Genomic DNA, 27,098 nt, shown 5'->3' on the forward strand with positions numbered 1-27,098 from the left:
ATAGACAAATGGGTACGGCTATGTTCCAATGAAGCTTTATTTACAAAAACAGGTGACCACAGGCTGTAGTTAGCTAACTCCCACTGCATATCATCCTCACTCCAGGACCCAGAGTGTGAACGCACCATCATTTGGAAAACTGTCGATCATGGTGGCAGAAGGGAAAAGGATCATGGAGAATCTCTCACTAGTTTTTAAATGTTTCACCTGGAAGTGACCCCTGTCACTTCCACTCACATTTTACTGACATGGAAAATCATATGACCACACCTAACTTCAGTAGATTGGGGAGGAAGCTGTCCTCCTTGAGCCTAGAAGAAGAGAACAAGAAACACCAGTAAGCAGCCTTAATGTCTATCGCATGTTGCATCATTCTTCTGTTCATCTCTTTCTGTGGCTTTTTGTTGAACTTTATGTTCCTAGTTAAGGAAATGAGTTGCAAAGTTGTGGTTTACTCAATGTTCTTACAGGTGTATTGCTCAGTTTCTGGATAAGCTGGGCCTCTTTACCTCCTTTTTCTGCTTTTCTTGTCCAGGCTGTAGGCTTGTTATTACTCTTCAACCAGAGCACTACAGAGTTAGAGGGAAAGTGAAGCATAATGCAAATTCATTCACCTCAAGTGTGGTCTCTGGGCCTTGCCTTACCACACAGGAAAGTCCCTTCAGTGGGCTTATTGTCAGACTTGTCTGAAGTTTTCATATTATTGACTATTAGCTAATTCACACAGTCTATTCAGGGTAACTCTTCTTAGGGGCCAATGTCTGGCCCGTGTTGGACAGCTATATATATATATTAGAACGGCGTGTGTGTGTGTGTGTGTGTGTGTGTGTGTGTGTGTGTGTGTATGTGTATGTGTGTGCGTAGGGATGAAGATTAGAGAACCTAATTTGGTCAACCTTTTCCATAGCTTCAATTGCATCTCATTACAGTTTTCTGCTATTTCCTCTTTACATTTTCTCTCCTTTTCTTCCCAAGGAACCCCAATGTTTTCAGAGAATAAAAGTTAGGTTGAAGAGAGTAAGAGATAAAGATAACTTTTTGGTTAAATTTCCTTTGCCTATTATATGCCTAATCATACCCTCCTCCAAATTCCTTTCTTGCTTTCTCTCTCCCTCCCTCCCTTCCTTCCTTCTTCCATTTATCTATCCATCCAATGTCCAAATGAGTGTCTATTGTTTGCCAGGCCCTGTGCTAGGCAAGTCATGGGTATATATAAATGCGGCTGACAGAGACTCAGTCCTTTGCTTTATGGAGCTAATAACTTTAGTGGGCAAAAATTATGATAATTGATAAGACACCTGAAGAATACTGGAAACTGGAGGATTCCAAGGGAGTAGGTGGTGATGGCATCTACCTTATGGAAGGTCTTAAAGCATTGGAGGGAAGGGTTCCTGTTGTTTTGCATGAATGAAGATAGTATGAAGGGATTTTATTCAAATGTTTTTGTTCTTCAATCTTTTGCTTCCATTGTTTATGCTCCTGCCATCTTTAGTCTTGTTCAGAGAATGGCAAACAGCCAGCAAGTTCTCAGTAGATTTCCCATTTGTCATAGGTTTCTCATGTATCCGGGTTTGGCTTAAAGATCAAATTGCCTTTAGGTTGACTTCTGATCCTTGCCAGAAAGAGCTGACCCTTTCTCCACTCATCTGTGCAAACCTTTACTCAGGTGAGACTTTCACACAATTTGAATAAAAGAACAAAAACTCTCCAGTAACTAAAAGGAGTAAGAAAGGCATAACTGTTTTATTTTGTTGGCTCCAAAGCTCAAGCCTATTATTTGAAATTTTTATGTTCTCTTATCATTTTGGTTTTATTTCATTTTAATTTTTTATGGAAAAAATGTATGTCTAATTGGAATGCAGACCAAAATAAAATTATTAGAGTGGAAAAAATATTTTAAGAAAATAACGTTTACATAAAATCAGCACAATGTCCAAACAAACAAAACCATGTATGTACAGTGAAAACACATTTATTTTAAATACTGAAAAAAGTGCTACTTCATATTATAGGATTTCCAGAAAGTATGCTCCTTTTGTTTGCTCATTAGGAAAAATTTTTGTTTTAAAATAAGATATTTTGATTTAAACTATTTCTATGTACTCTCTTAAACCAAACATAACTTGCTTTTTTCTTGATGACTCCGAGCCATGATTATTAATTCAGGTGATTCTGATTTTCTATTATGTATTGATGCCTTCATTGCCTACGAGAGAGTTGTAGGACAATTTGCCTTAATAGGAATAACAGAATGCTATCCTTTAAAAGTGTTTCCATGAAAACTTATTTATAGGTTTGGCTGTTTGGGGGTTTTGTTTTATTTAATGTCTCCTTCATTATTAAGGATGTCAGACATCCTTCCTCCCATATATTATCGTTTCTAGTAACCAGAAAGCTAACAATTTACTATTTTTTATTTATGTTGAGCATATTTATTAGGATAAACTTGTATGCACAGGTAAACATTTAGAATAAACTAACGTGGCTAAAACAAAAAAAAGAAACTTATTTACGTGCCATGCATAAGAATTCCAGAGATATGTAGCACAAGACCAGTATGGCACATTTTGAATTTCATAGGCATTCAGGCTCCTTTAGCTCTCTGCTGAAATATCCATAGGGTGTAACTCATGTGTCCAAGATGGTTCCTAGAGACAACAGACCAGAGTTCCAGACAGCAGACTGGAAGGCAGGAAGGCAGGAAGGCAGAGGGCTGGGTCCCACCATGGTGGGGTATAACCTAGACTTCCTTTACAACAACATTTCTGCTTGTATCCCATTGCTCAAAAGTTTGTCACACTTATAGCTTTAAGAATACTGAGAAGTGTAGTTTCTACCTGAGTACATGAGTTCCTTGAATAAAATTGAGTTTCTGATAACAAGTAAAAATAGAAGAAGGGCTGTTGGGGTCAACCACTAGCAGCTTCTGCCATATTCCAATATCAAATATCCAAACCTATTAGAAAATTATGGGCCGGGCCTGGTGGCTCACGCCTGTAATCCCAGCACTTTGGGAGGCCGAAGCGGGTGGATTACAAGGTCAGGAGATCGAGACCATCCTGGCTAACATGGTGAAACCCCGTCTCTACTAAAAAATAGAAAAAATTAGCCGGGCGTGGTGGTGGGTGCCTGTACTCCCAGCTACTTGGGAGGCTGAGGCAGGAGAATGGCGTGAACCCGGGAGGCGGAGCTTGCAGTGAGCCGAGATTGCGCCAATGCACTCCAGCCTGGGATACAGAGCGAGACTCCATCTCAAAAAAAAAAAAAAAAAAAAAAAAAAAAAAAAGAAAGAAAAGAAAATTATGTAGGGATTTTGAGTAATGTGGATTTCTTCTAGGAAGTAAAATGAATGGCATTTAGTGCATGGACTTACATATTTTAATCATTATAAGGCCTTCATTTTTTTTTTCCAGATTCTCTGGGTTCTGAATACATTTGCTACATAAACGGCATTTGAATAACTGAGGTACTACTGTGGCTGAAATGAATACTTCTATATAAAATCCTGTAGCAGAATTCAAGCAATTCTACTTTGCCATATCACGCCGATGCATTCCAAAGTTTCCTCTCAAAATATGTGCTTCCAGTATGTGCAAGAATTATATATGGCCTGAACAATTTGGATTGGATCCTTACATTCAGTTACATCCACTTCCTTTATCACTGTTTCTCAGCTTACACAATTTATGCCAGGACTTACTAGAAATAATTTTTTCACATTACATTACATAACTCCTAGAGTATAAACAAAACCTTCTATTTGGAGTATTCCCTAGATCTCTCTAAATTGATTCCTTGCAATGTTTGAAAGCTTGGAGTGAAGAAGGTATTCATGAAAATAAGATGTCAATTTGTGTGTTTGATATATTTGTGTTTGGCAAGGATTGCTATGGGCATTATTTCTTTGGTTCCCCAATATTTGGTTTAAAATCAGAAGCAACATTTGCATTAGTTAAACATGTATCTGATTTAGAGCTGGGTCTTTTGCCGCCATCTTCTTAAGTGAATTAGTTCTATGGGTAACTCTCATGGTGGCACTCATAGACCTTTGATGAATTGCACAGGCTGGATTTGAACTGCCCTGATCTAGCTGTGCCCACGAATGTGGCTTTTGTGTCTGAAGCAAATGGGAAAATTGGAAATAATGTTGAGCTCACTGCAGAGCTGATGAGCAGCTGTTATGAACTAATACAGCTGCATGGGTTGTGAACAACTACCTTACCAGGTGTCAGATATTTTGAGTATCTTCCTGCTAAGGATGGGTAGATCATTCTAGTTAAATGTCAGGGACTCCTGATGTAGGATTTCCAGCCTTCTGAGAAGAAAGTGGCTCCCTGGCCCTCCTGCCCCACAACCATCTCCTGCATCTCAAGCTGTCCACCATAGTAAGAGTCTGCAATCCCAGCCAAGCATGAGGAGACAGGTGCCTGAGCTGGGGCAGAGGATGCAAAGTTCTTTGTCTTCTACATTTGACATAATAACCTGTGTTCACTCTGTTTTGCTCTGGCATCTTAGCCATTCCTTGCCTTAGTGAATTCACATGATGTTTTAGCAGTGAGAGTAGATGCTTTCTTAATGTAGCATTAAAAGTAAAAGGGGATGGACACCCTAAATACCCTGACTTGATCACTAAAATTATACACATGTAAAACAATTTTTATATAGTCCATAAATTTGCACAAATATTTTAAACAAGTAAAAGTTGAAGTAACAAGAATAGCACAGGGGCTCCCCTGCCGCACCCTCTACAGCCATGCGCCATCACTGTGCACTCACTCATGACTGCAGGGGAAGAGCCTGCTCAGCACTGGGGCATGATGAGAGTGGCTGAGACCCAGTCCCTGCCTCACGTGCTATAAGCTAGTGGTGGAGATGGGAAGAAGCTATGGTGAGTACCACGAGGGACTTATCTTGACCTGATCCAGCTCCAGCTGTGGAGGAGCTTGGGTTGACATGGGGCAAGAAGGGAAAGGATGGGTGTATTAGTTTGCTTGGGCTGGCATAGCAAAATGCCACAGACTGGGTGGCCTAAACAACAGAAATTCATTTACTTGCAGTTCTGGAGGCTAGAAGTCCTAGATCAAGGTTTTGACTGATTCAGTTCCTGGTGAGAGCTCTCTTCCTGGCGTTCACTTGGCCTCTTTCTTACCATGTCCTCACATGGTGAAGCAAGACAGACATGTCTGGTATCTCTTTTTATAAGGACACAAATCCTGTTGGATAAGGGACCCATCCTTAAGACCTCATTTAACCTTAATTACTTCTTTAGAGGCTCCATCTCAAAATACAGCCACACTGGTGATTAGGGCATCAACATATGAATTTGGGGAGGGACACAGAAATTTAGTCCATAATAACAGGTTTGAGATGAAATGCCCAGATGGATCAATCCACCTCTGAAATTTCATTCTTGTTGTCTGAAAGATTTACATAAAAACCAATGGCTTATTCACTTCAATATTCTGACTGGCATGGCTCCCCCACCTCCTAGCTTAGAACCTCAGCCTCAGACCTACTTCCATATGAGGAGACGGAGGATGCTCATGCCAGTTCTAGAAGGAGTGACTGCCTGAGGGGGGAGTTGAGATAAAGATGTCCTGATTGAACTCGAGACTGCACTCAGGAATGACCCCATGTCCAGAGCTGGAACCAGACAGACCTTGGGACTCAGATAATAATATTTAAAATAGGAAGTTATCCAAAAAATATGTCATATGTGGTTGCTGTAGAGTGGGTACAGGGGACATAAAAAAAAATAGAGGGCTGTGTAAAGGTAAAGATGTAAGGAATAAAGGAATCTGGCTGAAGAGCAAGATCCAACTGAAGAGCAAGACTTACACCCTACACAAAGACCCCCTGTCTGTCTCTCCCCTAGCCATCAAAGCTGCCATCAGGGTTCACCCAACAAGATTTTTCATGTCTCTTTGTGCATGTGAACAGACACCATGGGAATTTCTTGTTCTCCTCATTCCTCCTGATATGGTTCAGCTGTGTCCCCATCCAAATCTCATCTTGAATTGTAGCTCCCATAATTCCCAAGTGTTGTGGGAGGAACCCAGTGGAAGATAATTGAATCATGAGGGTGATTTCCCCCATACTGTTCTTGTGGTAGTAAATAAGTCTCATGAGATCTGATGATTTTATAAAGGGTTTCCCCTTTCACCTGGCTCTCATTCTCTCTTGTATGCTGCCAGGTAAGCCTTCCGCCATCATTGTGAGGCCTCCCCAACCACGTGGAACTGTCGGTCCATTAAACCTCTTTTTCTTTATAAATTACCCAGTCTCAGGTATGTCTTTATCAGCAGCATGAAAACAGACTAATACACCTCCCCAGCGGGTCATCCAGAGCCAGCACCTGGAAATGGGGGAAGCAGGTGTGGTGGACTGAACCAACAGTGGACGGAACTTTGACCTCTGGACATGTGTTATAATGCTTTCTAGGTCCTGGTTCCTAGAGAGAGGTTAAGAGTTCTACAACTCCAGAAGAAATATAGCCCTCTCCCAGGTAAGCCATGTAGCACAGCTCCAGAGGGTGCAATTCCCACTGAAGTCTGTGAATGATGCCCATGGTGTTGTGCAGTGTGCATGCTGCATGACCATTCACAGTGACCCTGCCTCTCCCGGTGATTCCTAGTCCCAAAGGAATCAATCACTGTACTCACCATCTCTGGCAATAGGAGGAATGGAAACAGTGCTAATAATGACAAGGCCAAGATTTATTCAGGTGCTTATGCAAAGATACATTATTTTGCATACCGTTTTATTGCACATATTGGAAGTGACTTTCACGGATCTCCACTTTTCAGATTCCTTCCAGCTTTGCCAGGGGTAATTTGCCCAAGAAGCACAATTATTTATTCCAATTAAATGCTAATTTCACTCCCTTGAATCTAAATCTAAATCTCCTCTAGGAAAAAGAGGTTAATAATTCTTCTATTAACAAGGATGACTTGATCTAGTCTACAGTGGGCTCAAAATGTGCAAAATTATTTAAATTAGGGCGGGAAGCTAAAAAATATCCATGATGTCTTCAAAGCAACAAGATTTTTCCTTAATTATTTAAAATTTAGCAGTGGTGTGTACTATTATTGAGTCTCTAAACCAATGGTTCTTAAAGTGTGGTTCCTAAAATTGTATCATCAGCATCACCTGGGAACTTTGTTAGAAATAGAGTCTCAGGTCCTACCTAAGACCTGCTGAATCAGAAACTCTGGGAGTGGGCCCAGCAACCTGTGCTTTAACAAGACCTCCAGATGATTCTGATGCACATGCCAAGTTTGAGAAGCAGTGTTCTGGATCTAAGATAGTGATGCTAGTCTTGGCTGTATGTTAAGATCACTTGGAAAGTTCTTAATATGATGCCCAGGCCACAGCCCAGGCAAATCAGAATCTCTGGGGGTGGAGCCCAGATGTAATTTCCCCAGGTGATTGCAATGTGCATCCAAGGTTAACAACCATTGCTTTACAAGCAATAATTCTAAAAGTTAAGTGTGTGTGAAAAAGACTTGAGATACTTGTTAAGGATAAGACGTGCTCCTGGAGATTCTGATTCAGTAGATCAATGGTGAGGCTCAGGAATTCATATTTTTAGCCAGTAGTCCAGGTAATGCTGCTGCACAAGATGCATGGGCCACCCCACAAGGAACACAGTATACTTAAGAGCCAGACCGCTTAAATAGTCTTGAGGAAGGACTGTGCTTACTAGTGGGAAGTCAGAAACCGTAGCTCTGAGGAGTTAGGGTTGTATGTCAAGAGACTTTGACAGATGACTGCATGAACAAGGTAGGAAATGGAACTGTAGGTGCAGAAAGGTGATGAGGCTGTTTAATTGTGATGTACTTGTCAACCAGTACCTTTATTTGTCTTGGGAGCTCATGAGCTCTCTTTGTGAGAGAGACTGACCCAAATTACCCCTTCCATTGTATGGTTCTGTGCTGGACACCTTGGCTGGCACACCCTAACAAAGTGAATCCAAAAACAAGAAGCAAAGTAGTCACATGAAAATAACACAGATGGGTGGGGCATGGCAGCTCATGCCTGTAATCCCAACACTTTGGGAGGTCAAGGTGGGTGGATCACCTGAGGTCAGGAGTTCGAGACCAGCCCGGCTAACATGGTGAAACCCCCATCTCTACTCGATGATACAAAAATTAGTCAGGTGTAGTGGTGGGCGCCTGTAATTCCAGCTACTCGGGAGGCGGAGGCAAGAGAATCGCTTGAATCTGGGAGGCAGAGGCTGCAGTGAACTGAGATCATGCCACTGCACTCCAGCCTGGGTGATAGAGTGAGACTCCGTCTTGAAAATAAAAAATAATAATAAATAAATAAATAACACAGACTTTGGAGTCAAGCAATTTGAATTTGGATTTAGACTTGAATCTGCATGTCACCACTTGCTGTCCATGTGGCCTTGGAAAGTTACTCCTCTCTCTGACTCTGTTCTGATCTGTCAAACGAGAATATTGATAACTACCTTACAGAGTCATTATGAAGATTAACATGAAAAGCACTCAGCACCCAGTTGGCTCACAACAAAGGTTGATTGTTATTTTGAAGTGTTAAATGTCCCATCACCATTTATCAACCAGAGTCTGTGTTCTAATTTACTGTACCGGATGCTGTCCAGTAGTTGTGACATCTGGGAAATTCCTCCAGCTCCTCTGCATTGACTCACAGAATTCACAACAGGAACAGACATGAAAACTCACCATAATCTTTTAAACTAAGTAAAAACAACTAAGACTGGATAATGTAGGCAATGTTTTTTATCTACATAAGCACTGCACTCGATTAAGTCCTCTGAACTATTCTCCTAGCATCAGTTGAGCAAACTATACCCATAGCAATTTGGCTGGTAAAAAGTTAACTTGGGAAAAGAATCTTAAGTACCTTCCCAGCTGTGTTCTAATTGCATGTTTAGAAAGAGTATGCATACATTTTTTAGTGTGGTAACATCAAGGATAGATGTTGCTAAAGAGAATTTTAAGTGATTCATGCCCTGTTTTCTTATTCAGGAAAGCTTTTTCTAACTTTCTTCTGATAAGCCTACAGAAATAAAAGAGAATATGGCAGAGGAAGGCATTAAGAATTAAAGTCGGGAAAGTATTCAAGAAGTTACCCAGTTTATTTTTTGAGTTTCAGACAGAAGGGTCTAGCCTGACCCTCATAAGGATCAGATGAGGCAGATGGAGGCACCTCGTCTCTCAACCTAAATTCTTAGTGAAGTCCCTTATGGCTCAGCTGCAAGCCTCCTGCCACAGGACACGCACATTTCCTCTAGTGGGTTTGGGGGTGGAGAGCAGCTGGTATCACTCTCTTCATAATTACCCCGTATACTTAAAGAAGACAATTGAGTCATCCTTTATCCTCTTTTTTTCCAGGAAAACATCCAGTTCCTTAAAACTTACCTCATAGGTTCTGTTTTCCAACACTTTAATCATTGTGTCTTTTGTGTGCCCTGGCCAAGTCCCCTGCTTCCTCTTAGACCTGGACCTGGTCCCTGAACAAGGACCTGACTGTGCTGACAGGAATAGGAAAGCCCCCCTGTTTCCACACTCACTTGTAAGCCAAGAAAGTAGGGAACAGCCATCCCTGGCATTATTCCAGATGTGGGAAACTCTGCTGTCCACAGGGACAGGCAGGAGCATACACAGCATGGGTGAGGATCGTGTCAGAAGGAAGAATGTGCACAGCCTGGCCAAAGAGGCCGGCCCTGCTTGGTTACAGTGGTCTGCTGCCCTGAGGCACATTGTTGCCAGGTCTTCTGATTTTTCTAGAAAAGTTCAAAATCTGGACTTTAAAAGTATCTGCTTTTTTTTTTCCAATGTTGTCTACCCTCTCAAAAATATTTAAACAATCTGTGGGCAAATAAAACATGTCTGGAGGCTGAATCGGGTTCCTGGGCCTCTTAAGAAATTCTATTCTATGGCTGCATAGTATTCCATGGTGTATATGTGCCACATTTTCTTAATCCAGTCTATCATTGTTGGACATTTGGAATACTATGCAGCCATAAGAAATGATGAGTTCATGTCCTTTGTAGGTACATGGATGAAATTGGAAATCATCATTCTCAGTAAACTATCGCAAGAACAAAAAACCAAACACTGCATATTCTCACTCATAGGTGGGAATTGAACAATGAGATCACATGGACACAGGAAGGGGAATATCACACTCTGGGGACTGTTGTGGGGTGGGGGGAGGGGGGAGGGATAGCATTGGGAGATATACCTAATGCTAGATGATGAGTTAGTGGGTGCAGCGCACCAGCATGGCACATGTATACATATGTAACTAACCTGCACAATGTGCACATGTACCCTAAAACTTAAAGTATAATAAAAAAAAAAAAAAAGAAATTCTATTCTAGTTAATGTAGTATAAACAAAGGCCAGTCAGGTGTGGGTGGGAGCCTGGGGACAGGTTAGGAACACAGATAGAAGGGCAACTCATGTTTAGCAAGAAACAACCATAATAATGAACAGCTGTAAACACTCATTTAGATGAGGAAAAAAGAATTATTAATAAAGTATTGAAATAATTACCATTTTAATTCAGTGCCTGGAGTATAGTAAATGTTCAATAAATGTTTGCTAATAAATACCTTGCTTTTTAATATTGTTTTGCCGTTATGAAATACTTTATAATTTCTCTGCTTCCTTAGAACAACCTGAGAGGTAAGACTATTATTCTTCCCATTTTCATTACCTGCAGAGGTCATGCCCCTAGGAGCAGCAGAATGAGAGCTTCAATCCGCATGCTTGATTCACTATTTCTCCCTCTTGGATCTTGTCTTCCCAAAACCTTACAGGTGGGTATCAGTGGACACCTGGGTATGTAATGTGATCTGAGAGCCCACCCTCCCCTCTTTCCTACAAAGAACCACTTCTCACACGTAGTTAAAAAACAAAAACAAAACTGAAAGCAAATAAAAGGATCATGAAAATTAGGAATTCCCCTCTACTCTCCTCCAGCCACCAAGCTCTACAGGAACTCTCTAAAGACAATCCCCTTTTACTTTTCTTTATTATTATTATTTGTACAGACAGGGTCTTGCTCTGTCGCCCAGGCTACAGTACAGTAGCACGATCATAGCTCATTGGAACCTCAAACTCAGGGACTCAAGGATCTTCCCACCTCAGCCTGCCAAGTAGCTGGGACTACAGGTGCTCACCACCACACCTGGCTAATTTTTTAATTTTTTGTGGAGACGAGGTCTCACTATGTTGCCCAGGCTGGTCTCAAACTCCTGGGCTAAAGTGATTCCCACAACCTTGTCCTCCTAAAGTTCTGGGATTACAAGCATGAGCCACCACACCCAGTAAAGACAACTCTTATAATCAGCCTGTGTAAATGTATAGGTATTTTATGGGGTGTATGTATGTGTTTCTGTGTGTGTGTTGGTACATAAACGGTAAGATTTTATAATTTATTTTTTTTCTTTTTTTCTTTTTCTTTTTTTTTTTTTTTTTGAGACGGAGTTTTGCTCTTGTCACCCAAGCTAGAGTGCAATGGTGCGATCTCAGCTCACTGCAACATCCGCCTCCCAGGTTCAAGCAATTCTACTGCCTCAGCCTCCTGAGTAGCTGGGATTACAGGTGCCCACTGCCATGCCCAGCTAATTTTCATATTTTTAGTAGAGACAGGGTTTCACCATGTTGGCCAGGCTGGTCTCAAACTCCTGACCTCCTCTGAAACATGTGCTGTGTCCACTCAGGGTTAAATGGATTAAGGGCGGTGCAAGATGTTTTTGTTAAACAGATGCTTGAAGGCAGCTTGCTCGTTAAGAGTCATCACCACTCCCTAATCTCAAGTACCCAGGGACACAAACACTGCAGAAGGCCGCAGGGTCCTCTACCTAGGAAAACCAGAGACCTTTGTTCACTTGTTTATCTGCTGACCTTCCCTCCACTATTGTCCTATGACCCTGCCAAATCCCCCTCTGCGAGAAACACCCAAGAATGATCAAAAAAAAAAAAAAAAAAAAAAAAAAAAACTCCTGACCTCAGGTGATCCGCCTGCTTCAGCCTCCCAAAGTGCTGGGATTACAGGCGTGAGCCACCGCACCCGGTCTCTTTGCTTTCTTTTAAGTTAAGACTGTAATTGGAATAACTTTCCACATCAATACATATGGAACTGCCTTCTTTTTAACCAAATCCTTGATGGATTTAGGTTTTAGTCTTTTATTAATAATGTTTCAGTGAATAACCCTCACTGTGCATCATTTCACACATGTGGAAGTAAATCTATGGAATACAGTTAGAATTACTAGATTCAAGGATGTGCAGGTTTTTAGTTTTTAAAAACTAAATTGCCAAATTGCCCTTCATAAAGCCCACATTATACCCTCACAATCAATGTATAGAGTGCTATCATCCTATTTCATAAAAACTTTACTTTTCGGTTTATTCATCCACCTCCACGCTCACACACTCAATAGCCCCAAACTGTTCAGCTTCTGAAATGCAAAATTCAAACGTACACCTCGTCCATAACTTTTATCCAACTACTCCCATTACACCCCCACGCCTTCCCCAGTAGTTGGTTGCTGCATTCCCTTCCTCTTCCCATCACACCTAGCTCTGTGATCTGTCACTTCATCCTGAATCAGGCCAACCATTGCCACCTCCAAGCCAACATCCTAGCTACCAAGTGCTCCTAGAGAGAAATTACTCCACCTGGGCTGCTCCAAATTCATATTCCCCAACCTCACCTGGGCCCTCCGCACTGCTCCTTGTGATCAATGCTCCCTTCCCCGGAAGAGTTTTCAAAGCTTTCCATTCTCCTCGGAACTCCCTCCCCACCAACGGATAGCCACCCTTCCAGCTTCCTCGGGGAAATGATAATCCCATTTTTCTTCCCCCTCTCCTCCACTCTTCCTCTCTCCCTTCTCCTTTCCCTTATCATTTAAGCCTCTTCTAGCCTCTGTCATCTAAAAAGCCTCTCTCTTGACTCTGCTCTACCTCTTCCTGTCACTCTCTCGCCTCTCGCCCTGTTCACGGCCTCACTTCCTGTGAGAGAATCCACGCCGTGATTATTCCACCCCATCTCACATTAGTCTCCAAACCTCTGAAGTCTGACTTCAACCATCACAATTAAACTTGCTCTCGTATGCACCCAGTAAGCTGACAGTAATTACTGTCAACCTTCTGCCACTTGACCTCGCTGCAGCATTGGACACTCTTCCATCCTCCTTCATGAAACGGCCTTTTGTTCCTTTAGCTTCTGGCGCCTCATCTCTTGCCACTCACCACCTCCTGTCTGTGCTGCAGCCTTATTCAGCTCTTGACACTTCCTCATGTGGTGGATGGGGTGTTGACTCCTCAACTCTCCGAGTGATTAGTCTAAACCAAACATAGTGATCTCACTCCCCTAGCTAGCAATTTGATCCGGAAGAAGTATGTGACCCAAGCCTGGCCAATAAGACATGAGAAGTTGTCTGCTTGGGATCAAAAGAGATTTTTTTATTATTATTATTCCTAAAGGGTCATGTGGGAAAGACAATATATCTTCTTATGCCGAGGATGGAGCAGAACACAGGGAGGAGGGAAGAGCCAGGACAACACAGAGCAGAGGAGCTCAGCCATGTGGACTCTGCCTGAGGCCACACTGCAGAGGACCTCTTGTTATGTAAGATCCTAAATTGGCTCATGGCTTAGCCAGCTTGAGTGAGGCTTTATTTGCTTGAAGGCATTTGAACCTATACACCATATTCACCTCTCCATTTGTATGTGTTGTTTCTTCTGCCTGGAACCTTTTTACGACCATTTATCTCCTCTTTCCTACTCATCCATGAAGCCTCAACTCAGGCATACTTCTACCAGGGGGCCATCTATGGTCCCTCAAGAGAAGGCATCTTTCCTTTGTGCTCCTATAGTACTGCGTGAGAACAGAAGTATAATAACTTACTTGGGCCAGTGTGGTGGCTCATGTGGGTAATCCCAGCACTTTGAGAAGCCAAGGTGGGGGAGAACTACTTGAGACTAGGAGTTCGAGACTAGCCTGGGCAACAAAGCGAGATGCCCCCCAACCCTGTGCATTTCTATACAAAGTAAAAAGAAAAAAAAATAGCCTAGCACAGTGGTGTGCACCTATAGTTCCAGCTACTTGGGAGGCTGGGGTAGGAGGATTCTTTGAGCCTATAAGTTGGAGGCTGCAGTGAGCTATGATTGTGCTACTGCACTCCAGCCTGGGTGACAGAGCAAGATACTGTCTCAAGAAAAAAAAAATTACTTGAATATAACTCCCACTAGACTGTAATTCTTTGAGGAGGAAGATGACTTTTAGCACCCAACACAGTGCCTGGCACATAGTAATTGCTCATTAAATATCTGCTAAAAGAATAAATATTACTTTCATTGATCTAACCATCACTTTTTATGGTAATAACAATATTGGCAAAGACTCATGGAAATGAGCACTTCCCACACTCATAGCTGATGGTAGAATTTTTCTAAATTGCAACTTGACAATATGTTTTAGAGTACAAAAAAAAGTATGCCAGAATGCCACTTCTAAGAATTTATCATTACAAAATAATCAAGATTTATTTATATATATGTGCAGGACTGTCTTGTTCTTAATGGCGAAGCATCAAAAGCAATCTACAACAGTAGAGTGGACTGGTTAAATGAATTCTAGTATATCCAAATACTGCAATACTATGCAGCCAACATTTTGTGTTTCTGAAAAATATTTAATCATTTGGGAAAATATTTACATTATATCATTAAGTGAAAAAGCATGTAACAAAAGCTATAACCAAGTGTGGTTCCTATTTTTAAAATGTACATGAACAAAGAAGACTAAAGTAAGGAAGAGTGGCTGACACCTGTAACCTCAGTTCTTTTGGAGGCTGAGGTGAGAGGATCACTTGAACCTAGGAGTTTGAGACCAGACTGGGCAACATAGTAAGACCCTATCTCAACAACAACAAGAACAACAGCACAATCAGCCAGGCATTGTAGTGCGTGCCTATAGTCCCACCTACTAGGGAGGCTGAGGTAGGAGGATAGCTTGAGCCTGGGAGGTCAAGGCTTCAGTGAGCCATGACTGTGTCACTGCACTCCAGCTTTGGTGACAGAGCAAGACTCTATCTGTGAAAAAGAAAGAATGAAAGAAAAAGACTAGAAACTGTGCACTAATATTTCCATAGTGGTTGTCTGAATGGTAGGATTGTAATTTTAATTTCTTCTTCATGCTTTTCTAAATTGTCAATAATAAATATGTATTTTTAAAAGCTGTTAATATTAAGAATAGAAAAGAAAGGTGAGAAGAAGGAAGGAAGAACAGAGAGAGGTGAGAAGAGAGGAGAGAAAGAATAAGATGGGACTCTGAATCAGGATAATTGAGTTTTAATCCTAGCTTTACCATTAAGAGGCCATCCAGTTCAGGCTAAGTCATTTAGTCTTTATCCCTCATATCTCACTCAGCAAATGGGAATAATAATATTTACCCTACCTTATGGAATTTTTTTCAATACAAAAAAGTATATGAAGGGGCTTTGAAAAAAATGTATATATTTTGTAATATCAGATGGCATTTTTATTCACACAGATACTGTTTAATCACAGCTACCCTTTCTATAATTTAAGCCCTTAAACACATTTTTTATCTAAATATGAAATCTAATCCATTATTTCCTATGTGGTTTTCCAAGCATTTGAGAGATGTCAAGAGTTTCATTCAGTCAATAAAGGTGTCTGTTTTATTGAAACAAAAAAATAAAAATTTCTTCCACTTACCAAAATGTCTGTAATCCCCATCTTCCTCATTCCTTTAAGTTGAAATACTGATTGTTGCATGCCAAAATAAAAAGTTATATAAAAACTGGAGCATTTCTTTCATGCTTTACATTCTGTAAGATAAAACATGTGACCAGTGGTTTGTAAAGAGAATAGAGAAGATGCCTTGAAGAGCTAAGTCATAGATCACCACTTTGGGGAAAAGTACTTTCCATTTCAACGAGAGAATCTGAATATCCAGAGGTTATCTTACAACCTCAGGTACTTGGAATTACACAACTTAATAGCATTTAATATTCTCTATGGGTTAGCCTCAAACTGCTGTTATAAGATTATTATGTAAAACACATACTACCCTTCAGCCAAACTGGAATACATTAGACTCTTATTGCTTGAAAATATAACATTTATTTTGTATTTTTGCCAATCAAATAGGTATAAAATGGTATCTTATTGCATTCTTGATTGGTATTTCTCTCATCACTAATGATACTAAACATATGTTTGTATGTTTGTATTTGTTTCCTTTTCTGATAAATGTCTTTTATTATCATTTCTTTTTCTTATTTTGTGTATTTTTTCTTGTCGATTGGTAGAATCTATGTATTCTTGATACTAATAATGTGTCTATTGCAAGTATCTTTTCTCAATTTGACATTTTTCTTTTTATTTTAAGATATCTTTTGATAAACAAAATATATTAATTTTAATACAACTGATCAATGTTTGTAGCAGACATTTTTGAATAATCTTGCATATCTTTCCCTATCCTAAGGACTAAATCATATTTATTTATATTTTCTAATATGAATTTTAAGGTTTTATTTTTCAAATTTAAGTCCTTAATCCATCTTGAGTTGATTTTTGTATGTGGTAAGAGTAGGAATATAATATCACTTTTTTGCATATTTTTATTTTCCTACTGACCTGATATACTACTTCTGCCATCATCAAATTTTGATTCACGTGGAGGGATGTTTCTAGGCTCTTTATTCCACTGGTTAATTTGTCTGTCCCTTCACAAATACAAACTTATCTTAGTAACTGTAGCCTTATAATATAATCCTTATATCATTTTTTTAGGCACCTTAGGGTTTTCTATGCAGACAGTTATTGTGCATGTGTGTTTTACCATCTTCCTTTGATATTCTGTAGCCCTCTGATTTTCTTTTCTTCCCTTATTACATTGGCTAGGACCTCCATTATGATATTAATTAGAAATGGTAACAATGGACACCTTTACCTTGTTTCCAATCTTAGTGGGAAAGTATTCAGTTTTTCACCATTATGAATGATGTTATCTATAGGTTCTTTGTAGATGGCCCTCATCAATTTGAGGAAGTTCCCTTCTATTCCTAGTTTGCTGACTATATTTATCATGGCCCGAAGGTGAACTTTTTCAAATGCCTTTTCTGTATCTATTGGGACAGCCATATGGTTTGTTTTTTAATACACTTATGTGGTGAATTGCATTTATTGATTCTTGAATGTTACAGTATACTTACATTCCTGGTATAAATTCTACTTTTTCATGATGTATTATCTTTTAAAAATATGATTAAAATATGACTGAATGTAGTTTACTAATATTTAAAAATAATTTTACATTTATTTGTCTTTGTAGTCTATTTATCCCATCTGTTCTTGGATTCTTTTTTTCTTCTGCCTAGAAAACTTCCTTTAACAGTTCTTGTAGAGAACATCTATCTGCTGGTGATGAATTCTCTCAGGTTTTGTTGGTCTGATTTTCTGGATATAAAATTTTACACTGACAATTTTCTTTTTCTTTCAGTACTTTAAAGATGTCAAATCATTTTCTTAGTCTTATGTAGTTTCTGACAATGAGTCAGTTGTTTTCTATCTTTGTGCTTCCATGTCTTCTTTCCCCTCTATGCTTACTCTTCTTTTTTTTTTCTTTTTTTCCTTTTTTTTAAAATTATTATTATACTTTAAGTTTTAGGGTTTTCTGTCAGTGATTTTCAGAACTTTATAATGTGCCTTTGTGTAGTTTTTTGTTGTTGTTGTTGTTTACTCTGCTTGTGTTTGATGCAATTTTAAAATATGATTGTTTATACTTTTCACTATATTTTATATTTTTTAGTCATTGTTTCTCTAAACTTTTTTGTCTCTCCATGTCTCTCCTCTCCTTCTGGAATTCCAATTGCATATATTTTAGAAAACTTGATATTGTCCCACAGATCAATGATACTCTGTTATTTTTTTCTTCAGTCTTTTTGTTCTCCATGTAGTTCATTTTGGATAGTTCTGTCTTCAAATTAACTAACCTTTTCTTCTGAAGTATCTTGTCTCTTAGTAATCCCATGCAGTAATGTGCATTTCATGTATTATAGTTTTCACTCCTAGAAGTTTAATTTTGATTTCTAAAATATCTTGTATTTATCTTCTTATCATTTTAATGTTCACATTGGGGACTGCATTTGGAGTCTCATACCACAAGGCTCAGTTTGGGCTTTTTCTCCCCACACTATGGCCTGGAATCTCGTTCTGAAATAATCACAGAGGTTACCCTGACTATTGTTCAGTGTCTAAAAACCATCAAAGTATATATATTTGCCTGTTTTTTTAGTGATTTAATGCAGGAGGGCAACCCAGTCCCTGTTACTTCATTATAGCCATAGCCATCATTTGGGAAATATATTTTTGCTGGGTATAGAACTCTAGGTTGACAATATTTTTGCTTTCAACATGTTAAATTATGTTTTGATTTTCAGCAGGTTAGAGATGTTATCTTCTGGCTCATGGTTTTGACAAGAAATTAACTATTATTCTGTTTCCAGTGACTTTTATCCCTGGGAATAGGCCAAATTTTCCTGCTGCTTCTCATGTCTAGTATTTTTTATTGGATGCTGGACATTTTTGTTCTACATTCTTGTATGTCTGGATTTTGTTTTCTTTCCAATTTCTGTCTCCTCAACTTCATGAGATCTTTGTACTTTGTTTGGATTCTCCTACCTGTGGCATGGTCCAGAGTGTGTCTCCATATAGAAAGCCAGAATGATCATAGGACCACTTTATTTGATTTCTTTTCCTCAGGGATCACTTACATGTGCTGCTTATTTTCCAATATCTGAAGGTATTGTTTTTCTACATCATGTTCAGTTTTCTAGTTGCTCACAGTCAGAGTGCAAGTTCAGTACCAGTTACTATGACACTTTTGCCAGAAGCAGAAATTTCATTACATTATTAAAAATAACTATCCAACTAAAAGCAAATAATAAATAAGAGTTTCCATACATTAACCAAAGAAGAGTTTGTCATGAAGCATGAATTATCATTAATCCAATCCCACACCCCTGAAGTCCTTTTCAAAATAAGTTTTTTAAAAAGCAATTTCACATTTGTGTTTCCTAGTATTGCACACAATGCTGAAAGCCCACATCTTTAGCAATATATAATTTTTGCTACAACACACAATTGTGGGGCTGGTATACAACCTTTATTTTTCTCTGTCATGGCCTAATTCCCCTAAGTATTATAAAGAGGTATTATATAGAATAAGAGTATTTGTTATTTGGGACAGACTCAACGATTTCTGGACTAACTCTTCCAGAAGGATAAGGGTGTACTATGAACTAAGTTTTCAGAATTTACTCCATGCTCACACTATTCTTTCTCCCTTGCACATCTCATGTCATTCTACTTCTGTTAAAGTTCCATCCCTTCTTCAATATTCAGATAATATGTCACCTCCTTTATCTATCCTTTTCTTGTCAATATATTTAAATCAAGACTTAGCTTTTTCTCCTGTGTTTCCAAATCTCTTTGTTTGTGCTTCACATGGGATATTTATCACATTCTAATTTGTTTTGTAATTATTTATGTACATGTCAAGTTTTCTCCCCAGTAGGTTGTGAGTTTATGAAAGGCAAGGACTAAATCTTAATTTTTAGGCTGTTCCAGCACTTGTACTGTGCCTGTCAACAGTGCTCAGTAAGTCATTATTGAATAAATGATGGAGGAAAATAAAAGGGCCTACAAGACAATCTTCCCTTAATCCACTGCTTTTTCCTAATCCATTGAGTCTAGTAATGCAGGCATCACTGTTCTCTGAATGTGTGCTTCAAAGGTCAATGCTCCTGATGTGGCTGAAGCTCATGCCAACTTCTCTTACTCTGCATTGCTGTGGAGAGTGACTATTCACTGCATTGGTGGTAAGCCTTCATATTTTTTTCTCCCTTTCTTCTGTTATATTTCTCTGCTAGTCCCCTACCCCATTTCCAGTATCCCTCAATCACTAAGGGTCTGAAAGTTTCTATAAGCTAAGGTTATAGATGGCAGTTTCCAGTAGTTTCTGTATGCATACCTACCCATGGAGAGTGGGAGTGTGTGCGTTTCAATGATATTTTTTCAGTCCCTCTTTGGTGCAGCTTCTAGCATTGAGCATGCTGGGCTCAGTGGCATTTTGTTTCTTTAATCTTTCTTCTCTTTAATGTGCTTGTTTACTTGTCTTTGACCACACTCTGATTATTCTTTGGAAGGCTAAGTGAGCTGAGGGTCATGAGTGCAACTCAAGCAGAGGAGGGCTTATTAATGCACTTTAGGCTATTAATTGAAATCAGTTCCTCAGCTGTTTATGGAGAAACACCTTCCCAATATCATGTTCTGTCCTACATACTGGACATGCCAAGTTGAGTAAGCATCGGTTTTAAGGAATTTATTGTTTAAATGGAGAGATTGATAAGCAAACAGAAAGTGAACATATGGTGCCAGAGTACAATAACAAAGGGTGGGTAACAAAGAGGATGCCCTGGAAATGTAAAGCGGAAATAACTCTGCCTGAGGGAAGTAAGTATGGCGTGTCAGTATCTTGGAGAAGGTTATGTCTAAGCTGGGTCTTCTAGTATTAGTAGGAGTCCATTCAACAGAGAAGTATAGATAGTTCAGTAAGAAGATATAGAATGTGCAAAGGCACAGAGGCATGAAAGATTATGATTTGTGTGGTATGTTTGGGAGGATGGCAGTGAGAGGAAATTGTTGGGAAAGTGAACCTGAACCAGACTTTGCACTTTTTATGGTCTAAGAAATATGCATTTGTTCCCATAAGCCAACCTTTCCTAATTTTTGGTCATATAATTTCCACTTTCACATATTTGTACAATATCTGTACCAATGTTTACTTAACACTTTAAAAAATCAACTTTAACTCACTTCACTTAAAATAGTTTATCAGGCAATATTGGATTATTTTTAAAAGGATGGATATCACATATATGAATCAGAATAGTAGAACGAATACTTGCAAACTCATTATTCAGTATAAGAAGTAGAACGTTATTATCCAACTTAAGAATGAAAACATTTCATTGCTTTATTTGTATGATTCTTCCCTGTGTCATCTCCTTGTCTCCCCTAAAAGGTTAGTACAATCCTATACTTTGTATTCATTGTTCCCTTGCTTTTTGAAGAATTGTCTTATTTCATATGAATATATCCACTAACAGCATATTGTTTAGCTTAGTTTGGTTTTGAATTTTAGATTTTGATTTGTGGCAGCCTTGTGGAAAAAAAGATGGGTACAGGAGCAAGCCTGGAGGAAGGGACACCTTGCAGATGATTGTCAGAATTAGAATCTAGAAAAGACTATGTTTTGAAGCATTTAGATTAAGGAGGGGAGAGCGATTAAGCAGGGAAAGTGAAGAATGGCTATGATCTATTTCAAAGGCAGAATTGCTGAAATCAAGGAATTATTTTAAAGTAATATATTTTATTTAGTAAGAGCTCCTTTAGAAACTGCCCTTTATAATGTTTCTTATGGCAGAAATATGAAAGTGTTTGTTTAGTTTATTGACACAAATAGTTTGTATTTTGACCTTTGTTGTGCTAGTGGTTCCCTGTGTTTTCCAGGGAACAAAGAAAAGCAACTCATAGGTCTTCATCCTAGAAGATCTGCACGGTGACTTTTAAAGACTAGTAGGTAAAAGCCATCTTGTGTACTTTTGAAGAGTATTCAAGGTGTGGTATTTTATGATCCAACTAGGCAGCTGAACCAATATGCAGATCTTGGTTTTTTAACTATAAAACAAGTCTTTCTCCCTAGGCCATGTCTTGAATTTGTTTTTTAAGCTCACCACACCCAGCTTTTCCCCATATTTAGTTTTAAACAAAAATCTCACCATATTTCTGTAATTAATCTGTACAATATTGCTACTGTTTTCAGAGTAACTTTGGAAAGCCCCAACACTTTGGGCAATATCTGCAAAATGCAGTTAATTTAATGCTATCTACATTAAGGGAGATTTTAAACTTTAAAACAAGAGACTGAATTAGCCAGTTTTATTGAGACTAGAGCAATTAACTTGTAATTTATGGTTGGCTCAAAAAGGTCACTCACTAGAAGTGGGTGTCTGGGTACTCCCCAAGTCCTCAAGCTGACCTGGATTGGGCAATTTGAGCAAAGCAGAATGGTTTGGAAGAAGCATTCTCCAGCCAAGAGGACACTCATGTTATTGCCAATTAGACTTGGAAACTGGTTCAACTTGCTGGGTCAAAAACAGCTAGACAGCAGGAGTTTAAAAAATACAAAATGATCACTTGTGAAAATGCAGGTGGAATACAATAAATGTCAGGTTAATTTAAGCCATCTTTGGAGAGTCAATACTCTTCTCACTTCCCAAAATCATTATTTAATTGAGCAATTTCTTTAGTTCAAACCAGACTGGTTGTTGAACAAACTGTCTTACAGACTAGGAAACCCAGTCGCTAGGAGATAAAATGTCTAGGATAAATTAGCATCATTCAGCAGTAGTGGGATTCAAACAGGCCCCAGTGGTTCTGCATATCATCACTTGGCTGTAGGCCTCTTAGACTATTTAATTCCATTAAACTAACATTTATTTAGTGCCTATTATGTAAAAGTTCTGTACTCAGCACCCTGATAATGCCACAATGCTTTCCTAAGGGACTGGGCAATTTGGGGAAATGTCAAACAGTTTATAACAGGGTCCTCTATCTATTCATCTCCCCCAAAGCTGAACTGATTGGAAAAAGGAGGGAGGGTGTGGGTCACTGTGATCAGAGAACTTGATGGTTGTGACTCCGTTGTCCCATTCTCCCCCGTGGAAATTTTCAAAAACTTGGGGTGGGGAGCCTAGTGAAGAAAGGGATTTGGTGGTTTGAAGGATTTTAAAAAATGAGATCTTAGCATCTATTATTTGATCCTAGATCTATGACCTAATCCTAACAAGACATAATGCATTCGGGATTTAGTGGCCACTTTTATGGGTTGGCACATATTTCTTCTGCATCCCTATTCACCCAGCCATTAATTTTATTTTAATATATACTTGTACTCTGGCATTTTCTCCTCTGAATATTTTATTTGTATTTTAAAATTTTTTAACCTCCCGATGATTGATGGGGAGGAGGGGAAGGACAAGACACGAAGCAGACAGATAAGCTGACAAAAATGACAAAAAAACCATTTTAATGTTTAAATCAGAACAGAAAGCTGTTTATGAGTTGTGATCTATTGTTTGGTACTGAAAAGTAACAGAGGCATAATTAAATCTTTTACCCAATGCTTTATCCAGAGAGATCTTTTCAGAAATTTGGGCAGTATTTATCTTATAAAAGCAACCCTGTTTTTTTTTTTTTATGGAAGTCATTTATATGACTTCTATGATTTATATGACTGGTCATTTATATGATTGTTTAGCTTAGTTTGGTTTTGAATTTTATTATAACCATGATATCTGGACCTAAGGTCCCAAATTGAACCTCTCAATATCCATGGCATTGCAAGCATGACTATGCATGCAGTGGGGAAAATAATATAATGTATTTGCATAGGTTTTTTTTTCCTTTTTAAAGCCCTTTCACATCTACTAGTACATGAAATTGTGCCACTTACTAAAATTCATTGTTAATTTCATTTTTCTAATGAATATTTGGCCACCATCCTGTAGACCAGGTTATAGATGCTTCACCTATTACCTGAGGGTTTTGTTTGTGTATTTGTTGAGCTAACTTTTTAACTAAAAATTTTAAGGTCAAAAAGTACATTTGGTGGTCTTTTTATTGGGAGCCCAGACTGTGAGAAACTCTTCTAGAGTCCTCTCTTAAAATCCAGATACTCTTTTGAAGGATTATGTAACTAAGTAATAGCTTAAAAGGTAATAGTTAATATCTTGGCATGTATTAGTTGGCAGTTGTTGAAAAGGAGAGGAATTTTAGGTGGTAAAGTAAATTACCTGGAAAGGGAGGATGCCTCTGGAGGAGGGGGAGCATTAACCACGACTACTAGGAACAAACTCCACCTCTCCAACTACAACTGTGACCTCATCTCTCACTAACCTTCCCCATAAAACTGCTTAGTCACCTCTGGTGGCAAATAAAATCTGTCTCTAGACTCTAAGTTATTTGGGGGGATGAACCCTTGTCCCTCACCATTGCTTTCCAGCCTGTCTTAGCATACAGTAGAGAATCAGGAAATATATGTAGAATAAATGAAAACTTTAATCCATAATTTGATGCCTAGTTGTAATATTTAAGCTTCTCTCTTGTGCTATCTTTGTTTTCAAAAGGAATAATGCTGGAGCATCCCAGAAATCGAAATGTTTATCTTTGTCTTAACCTCTAGAAAGGAATCCCATTTTTCTGTGGGATAATAAAAATAATAGACAACACTTACTGAATGCTTATTGTGTCCTGGGCACTGTCCCATCATTTTATACAGTCCCTCACTACCAGCCCATTTTACAAATAAAGAAAACATGGCAGATAATTTAAGTCTACTTGCTTATAAGTTTCCTCTCTTAGTGTTAAAAAAGACAAAGGTGCTGAATGGCGATGACAAAAAAAGTCCCTTCTATTTGTTTTTAATTAAACTTCATTGTAGACTCAACAAAAATTAAATGCAAACAGAAAGAGAAAAAAAGAGGAATTCATCCCTCAGAAGCCCATCACAGTGCCTAAGTTTATCAATGCATAACAGTCTATTTAGTTCATTCCTACGTGGATGTTTATGTTGGAGCTACATTCACAGTTAAATACGTCGTATTGTGGAGGAGTTAAGATAGCGCAAAACTATGTCCACCAGGTGGCACTCATCCCTCTAGATGAGGGGCAGAAGTTGAGGGGGAAACACTTCTGATTGTGTTGTCAGCACCCTTGGCAAAAAGATTCAAGTACTGACCTTTAGTTTCCTGGGCCTACAGCTTTTTATCCAGGGTGAGTTGAGGAGCTGTCAGACACCCACAAGTGCATCCTGCCTATTTTGCTATAAAGGAGAGGAAGTTCTCAGCTGCATAGCAGTACGGTGTAGTTGATGGATGTAGGGTTCTGTTTCAAATCCAAATTCAAATACAGGTTTCTTCAAATCCTAGGCCTACCAGTCACTAGTTGTATGACTTGGGCAAGTTACTTAACCTTTCTGTGCTCCAAGATCCTCATGTGTGAAATGGGGACAATCACTATACCTACTTCATTTTCAATTGCCTGGTTTAACAGTCCTCTCTGCTCACAGAGGGCCCAGATAAATGTTCTATGAAATGGAATTAATTATGTGACCCTTTAGTAGCTGGGCATTAAAATGCAATTAAAATTTTACTTGGCTCAGAATATATGATCAAAGAGATGAACTTGAGTTTCAGGCTTTTTTGTTGTTATTGTTTTTTTATTTTCTAGAGATGGGGGTCTCACTCTGTTACCTGGGCTAGACTGCAGTGGCACAATCATAGCTCACTGTAGCCTTGAACTCCTGGGCTCAAGTGATCCTCCCACCTCAGCCTCCCAAGTAGCCAGAACTATAAGCATGAACCACCACACATGGCTAATTTTTATTTTTTGTAGAGATGGGGTCTTGCTATGTTGCCCAGGCTGGTCTTGAACTCCTGGCCTCAAGTGATCTTCCCACCTCAGCCTCCCAAATTGCTGGGATTATAGGCATGAACCACTGCACCCTACCAAGTTTCAGTTTTAAATGGTAAAGTAAAGCTATGACTATTTACTAGATGTAGATTACTCATAAGAGCAAGAAATATTGATTTAGCCTCTCCAGTGAGCCAGTTTAGTCACTTCTCTAGGTGCTTTTGCTGCAAAGATGAGCAAGACAGGTCCTATCCCCACTCCCATTAAGCATATAATGTAGCAGGGAAGATAAATAAATAATGACATAAAAGTAAACAATTACAAATGTACAAAGGAATGTAAAGTAGATGGACCTAACCTAGTATGGGGGGTTAGGGAAGGCTTCCAAGAGGAAGTGGTTGTAGAGAATCAGGTAATGAAGCAAAAAGAAAGTGGGTAAGCATTCCAGGCAAAAGAACTGGCATTTGCACAGGTCTTAAAGTGGAAAAAAGCCTGCTAAAATCAAATACCTGAGAAAAGTCCAGTGTACCTGAAGGGGAGAAAAAGTGGGACAGAGAGGCTGGCAGATGGAGAGGTTACTTACTGGGCAGGAGGAAGTATTAAAGGGTTTTAAATGGAAAAGTGACATCAGATGCTGTTACTCTAAGAACTGCACTTTTCAAGAGGTCATTATGCAACTTGGGAGGCTGCGGTGGGAGTATAGCTTGAGGCCAGGAGTTCAAGACCAGCCTGGGCAACATGATGAGAACCTATCTCCACAATTTTTTTTTAAATTAGCTGGGTGTGGTGCCACATGCCTGTAGTCCCAGCTATTTGGGGTGGGGGGCTGAAGTGAGAGGATCGTTTGAGCCCAGATGTTTGAGGCTGCAATGAGTTATCGTCATGCCACTGCATTTCAGCCTGGGTGACAGAATGAGACCCTGTCTCTAAAAACATTAAAAGAAAAGATCATTATGACTGAAATGAGGAGATAAAGAGGCTAGTTTGGTGAGGTAAGACTGTATTGAGAGCGTCCAAGGCAAAACCTTTTGTATTATTTCAGCCTGATTATGATGGTAGCCTGAACCAGTGTGGCAGGAAGTAAATGGCTTTGAGAGACTCTTAAGGCATGTGGACTTGACAAGATTTGTTGATTAGATGTGTGGAAGGGAGGAATCTAGGTATCTGACTTAAACAAGAGTGTTGATGGTATTACCATTTCCCAAGACCCAGAGAACATTGGAGAAATAGCAGTTTTGGAAATTTAAGTTAATGTGCTCATTTCAGGATAGGATGAGTTTGAAGCCAAAGACATATTCAAGAGAAACTGTTAAGAAAGTACTTCTATGTATGGAGCTCGAAAGGAGACTGGGGTTGTTTCAGTAGATTTAGGAGTTGTCACCATAGCTATAAATTGAAGCATGATGAGACCTTCTAGGGAGAAAGTGAAGAGTGAGAAAAGAAGATGTCCTGGGTCACAACTCTAGGGAACCTCACCATTTTCTACATTAGTAGAGATGAGGGATCAATACTCAGTAATGAAAA

At 39.1% G+C, this 27,098-nt stretch overlaps 1 long non-coding RNA gene across 1 annotated transcript in view, besides 1 other annotated feature; it reads left to right on the forward strand.

Annotated features, from left to right (window-relative positions):
* The window catches only part of LOC105373804 (uncharacterized), a 29,389-nt gene extending 15,817 nt beyond the window's left edge, over positions 1 to 13,572 (forward strand). Inside the window, exons 2-4 of the long non-coding RNA XR_923707.3 lie at positions 6,442 to 6,505; positions 10,717 to 10,813; positions 13,488 to 13,572. This is a non-coding gene — a long non-coding RNA (uncharacterized LOC105373804). The remainder of the gene's footprint in view (positions 1 to 6,441; positions 6,506 to 10,716; positions 10,814 to 13,487) is intronic.
* Positions 10,915 to 11,034: an enhancer, noted in NCBI's record as "active region_16880". NCBI's record gives its function as "activates an Ori minimal core promoter by ATAC-STARR-seq in GM12878 lymphoblastoid cells {active_cell/tissue: GM12878}" and the evidence as "EXISTENCE:reporter gene assay evidence [ECO:0000049][PMID:35858748]".

This window comes from Homo sapiens, chromosome 2 (assembly GCF_000001405.40).
Source record: "Homo sapiens chromosome 2, GRCh38.p14 Primary Assembly".
Taxonomy (NCBI): domain Eukaryota; kingdom Metazoa; phylum Chordata; class Mammalia; order Primates; family Hominidae; genus Homo; species Homo sapiens.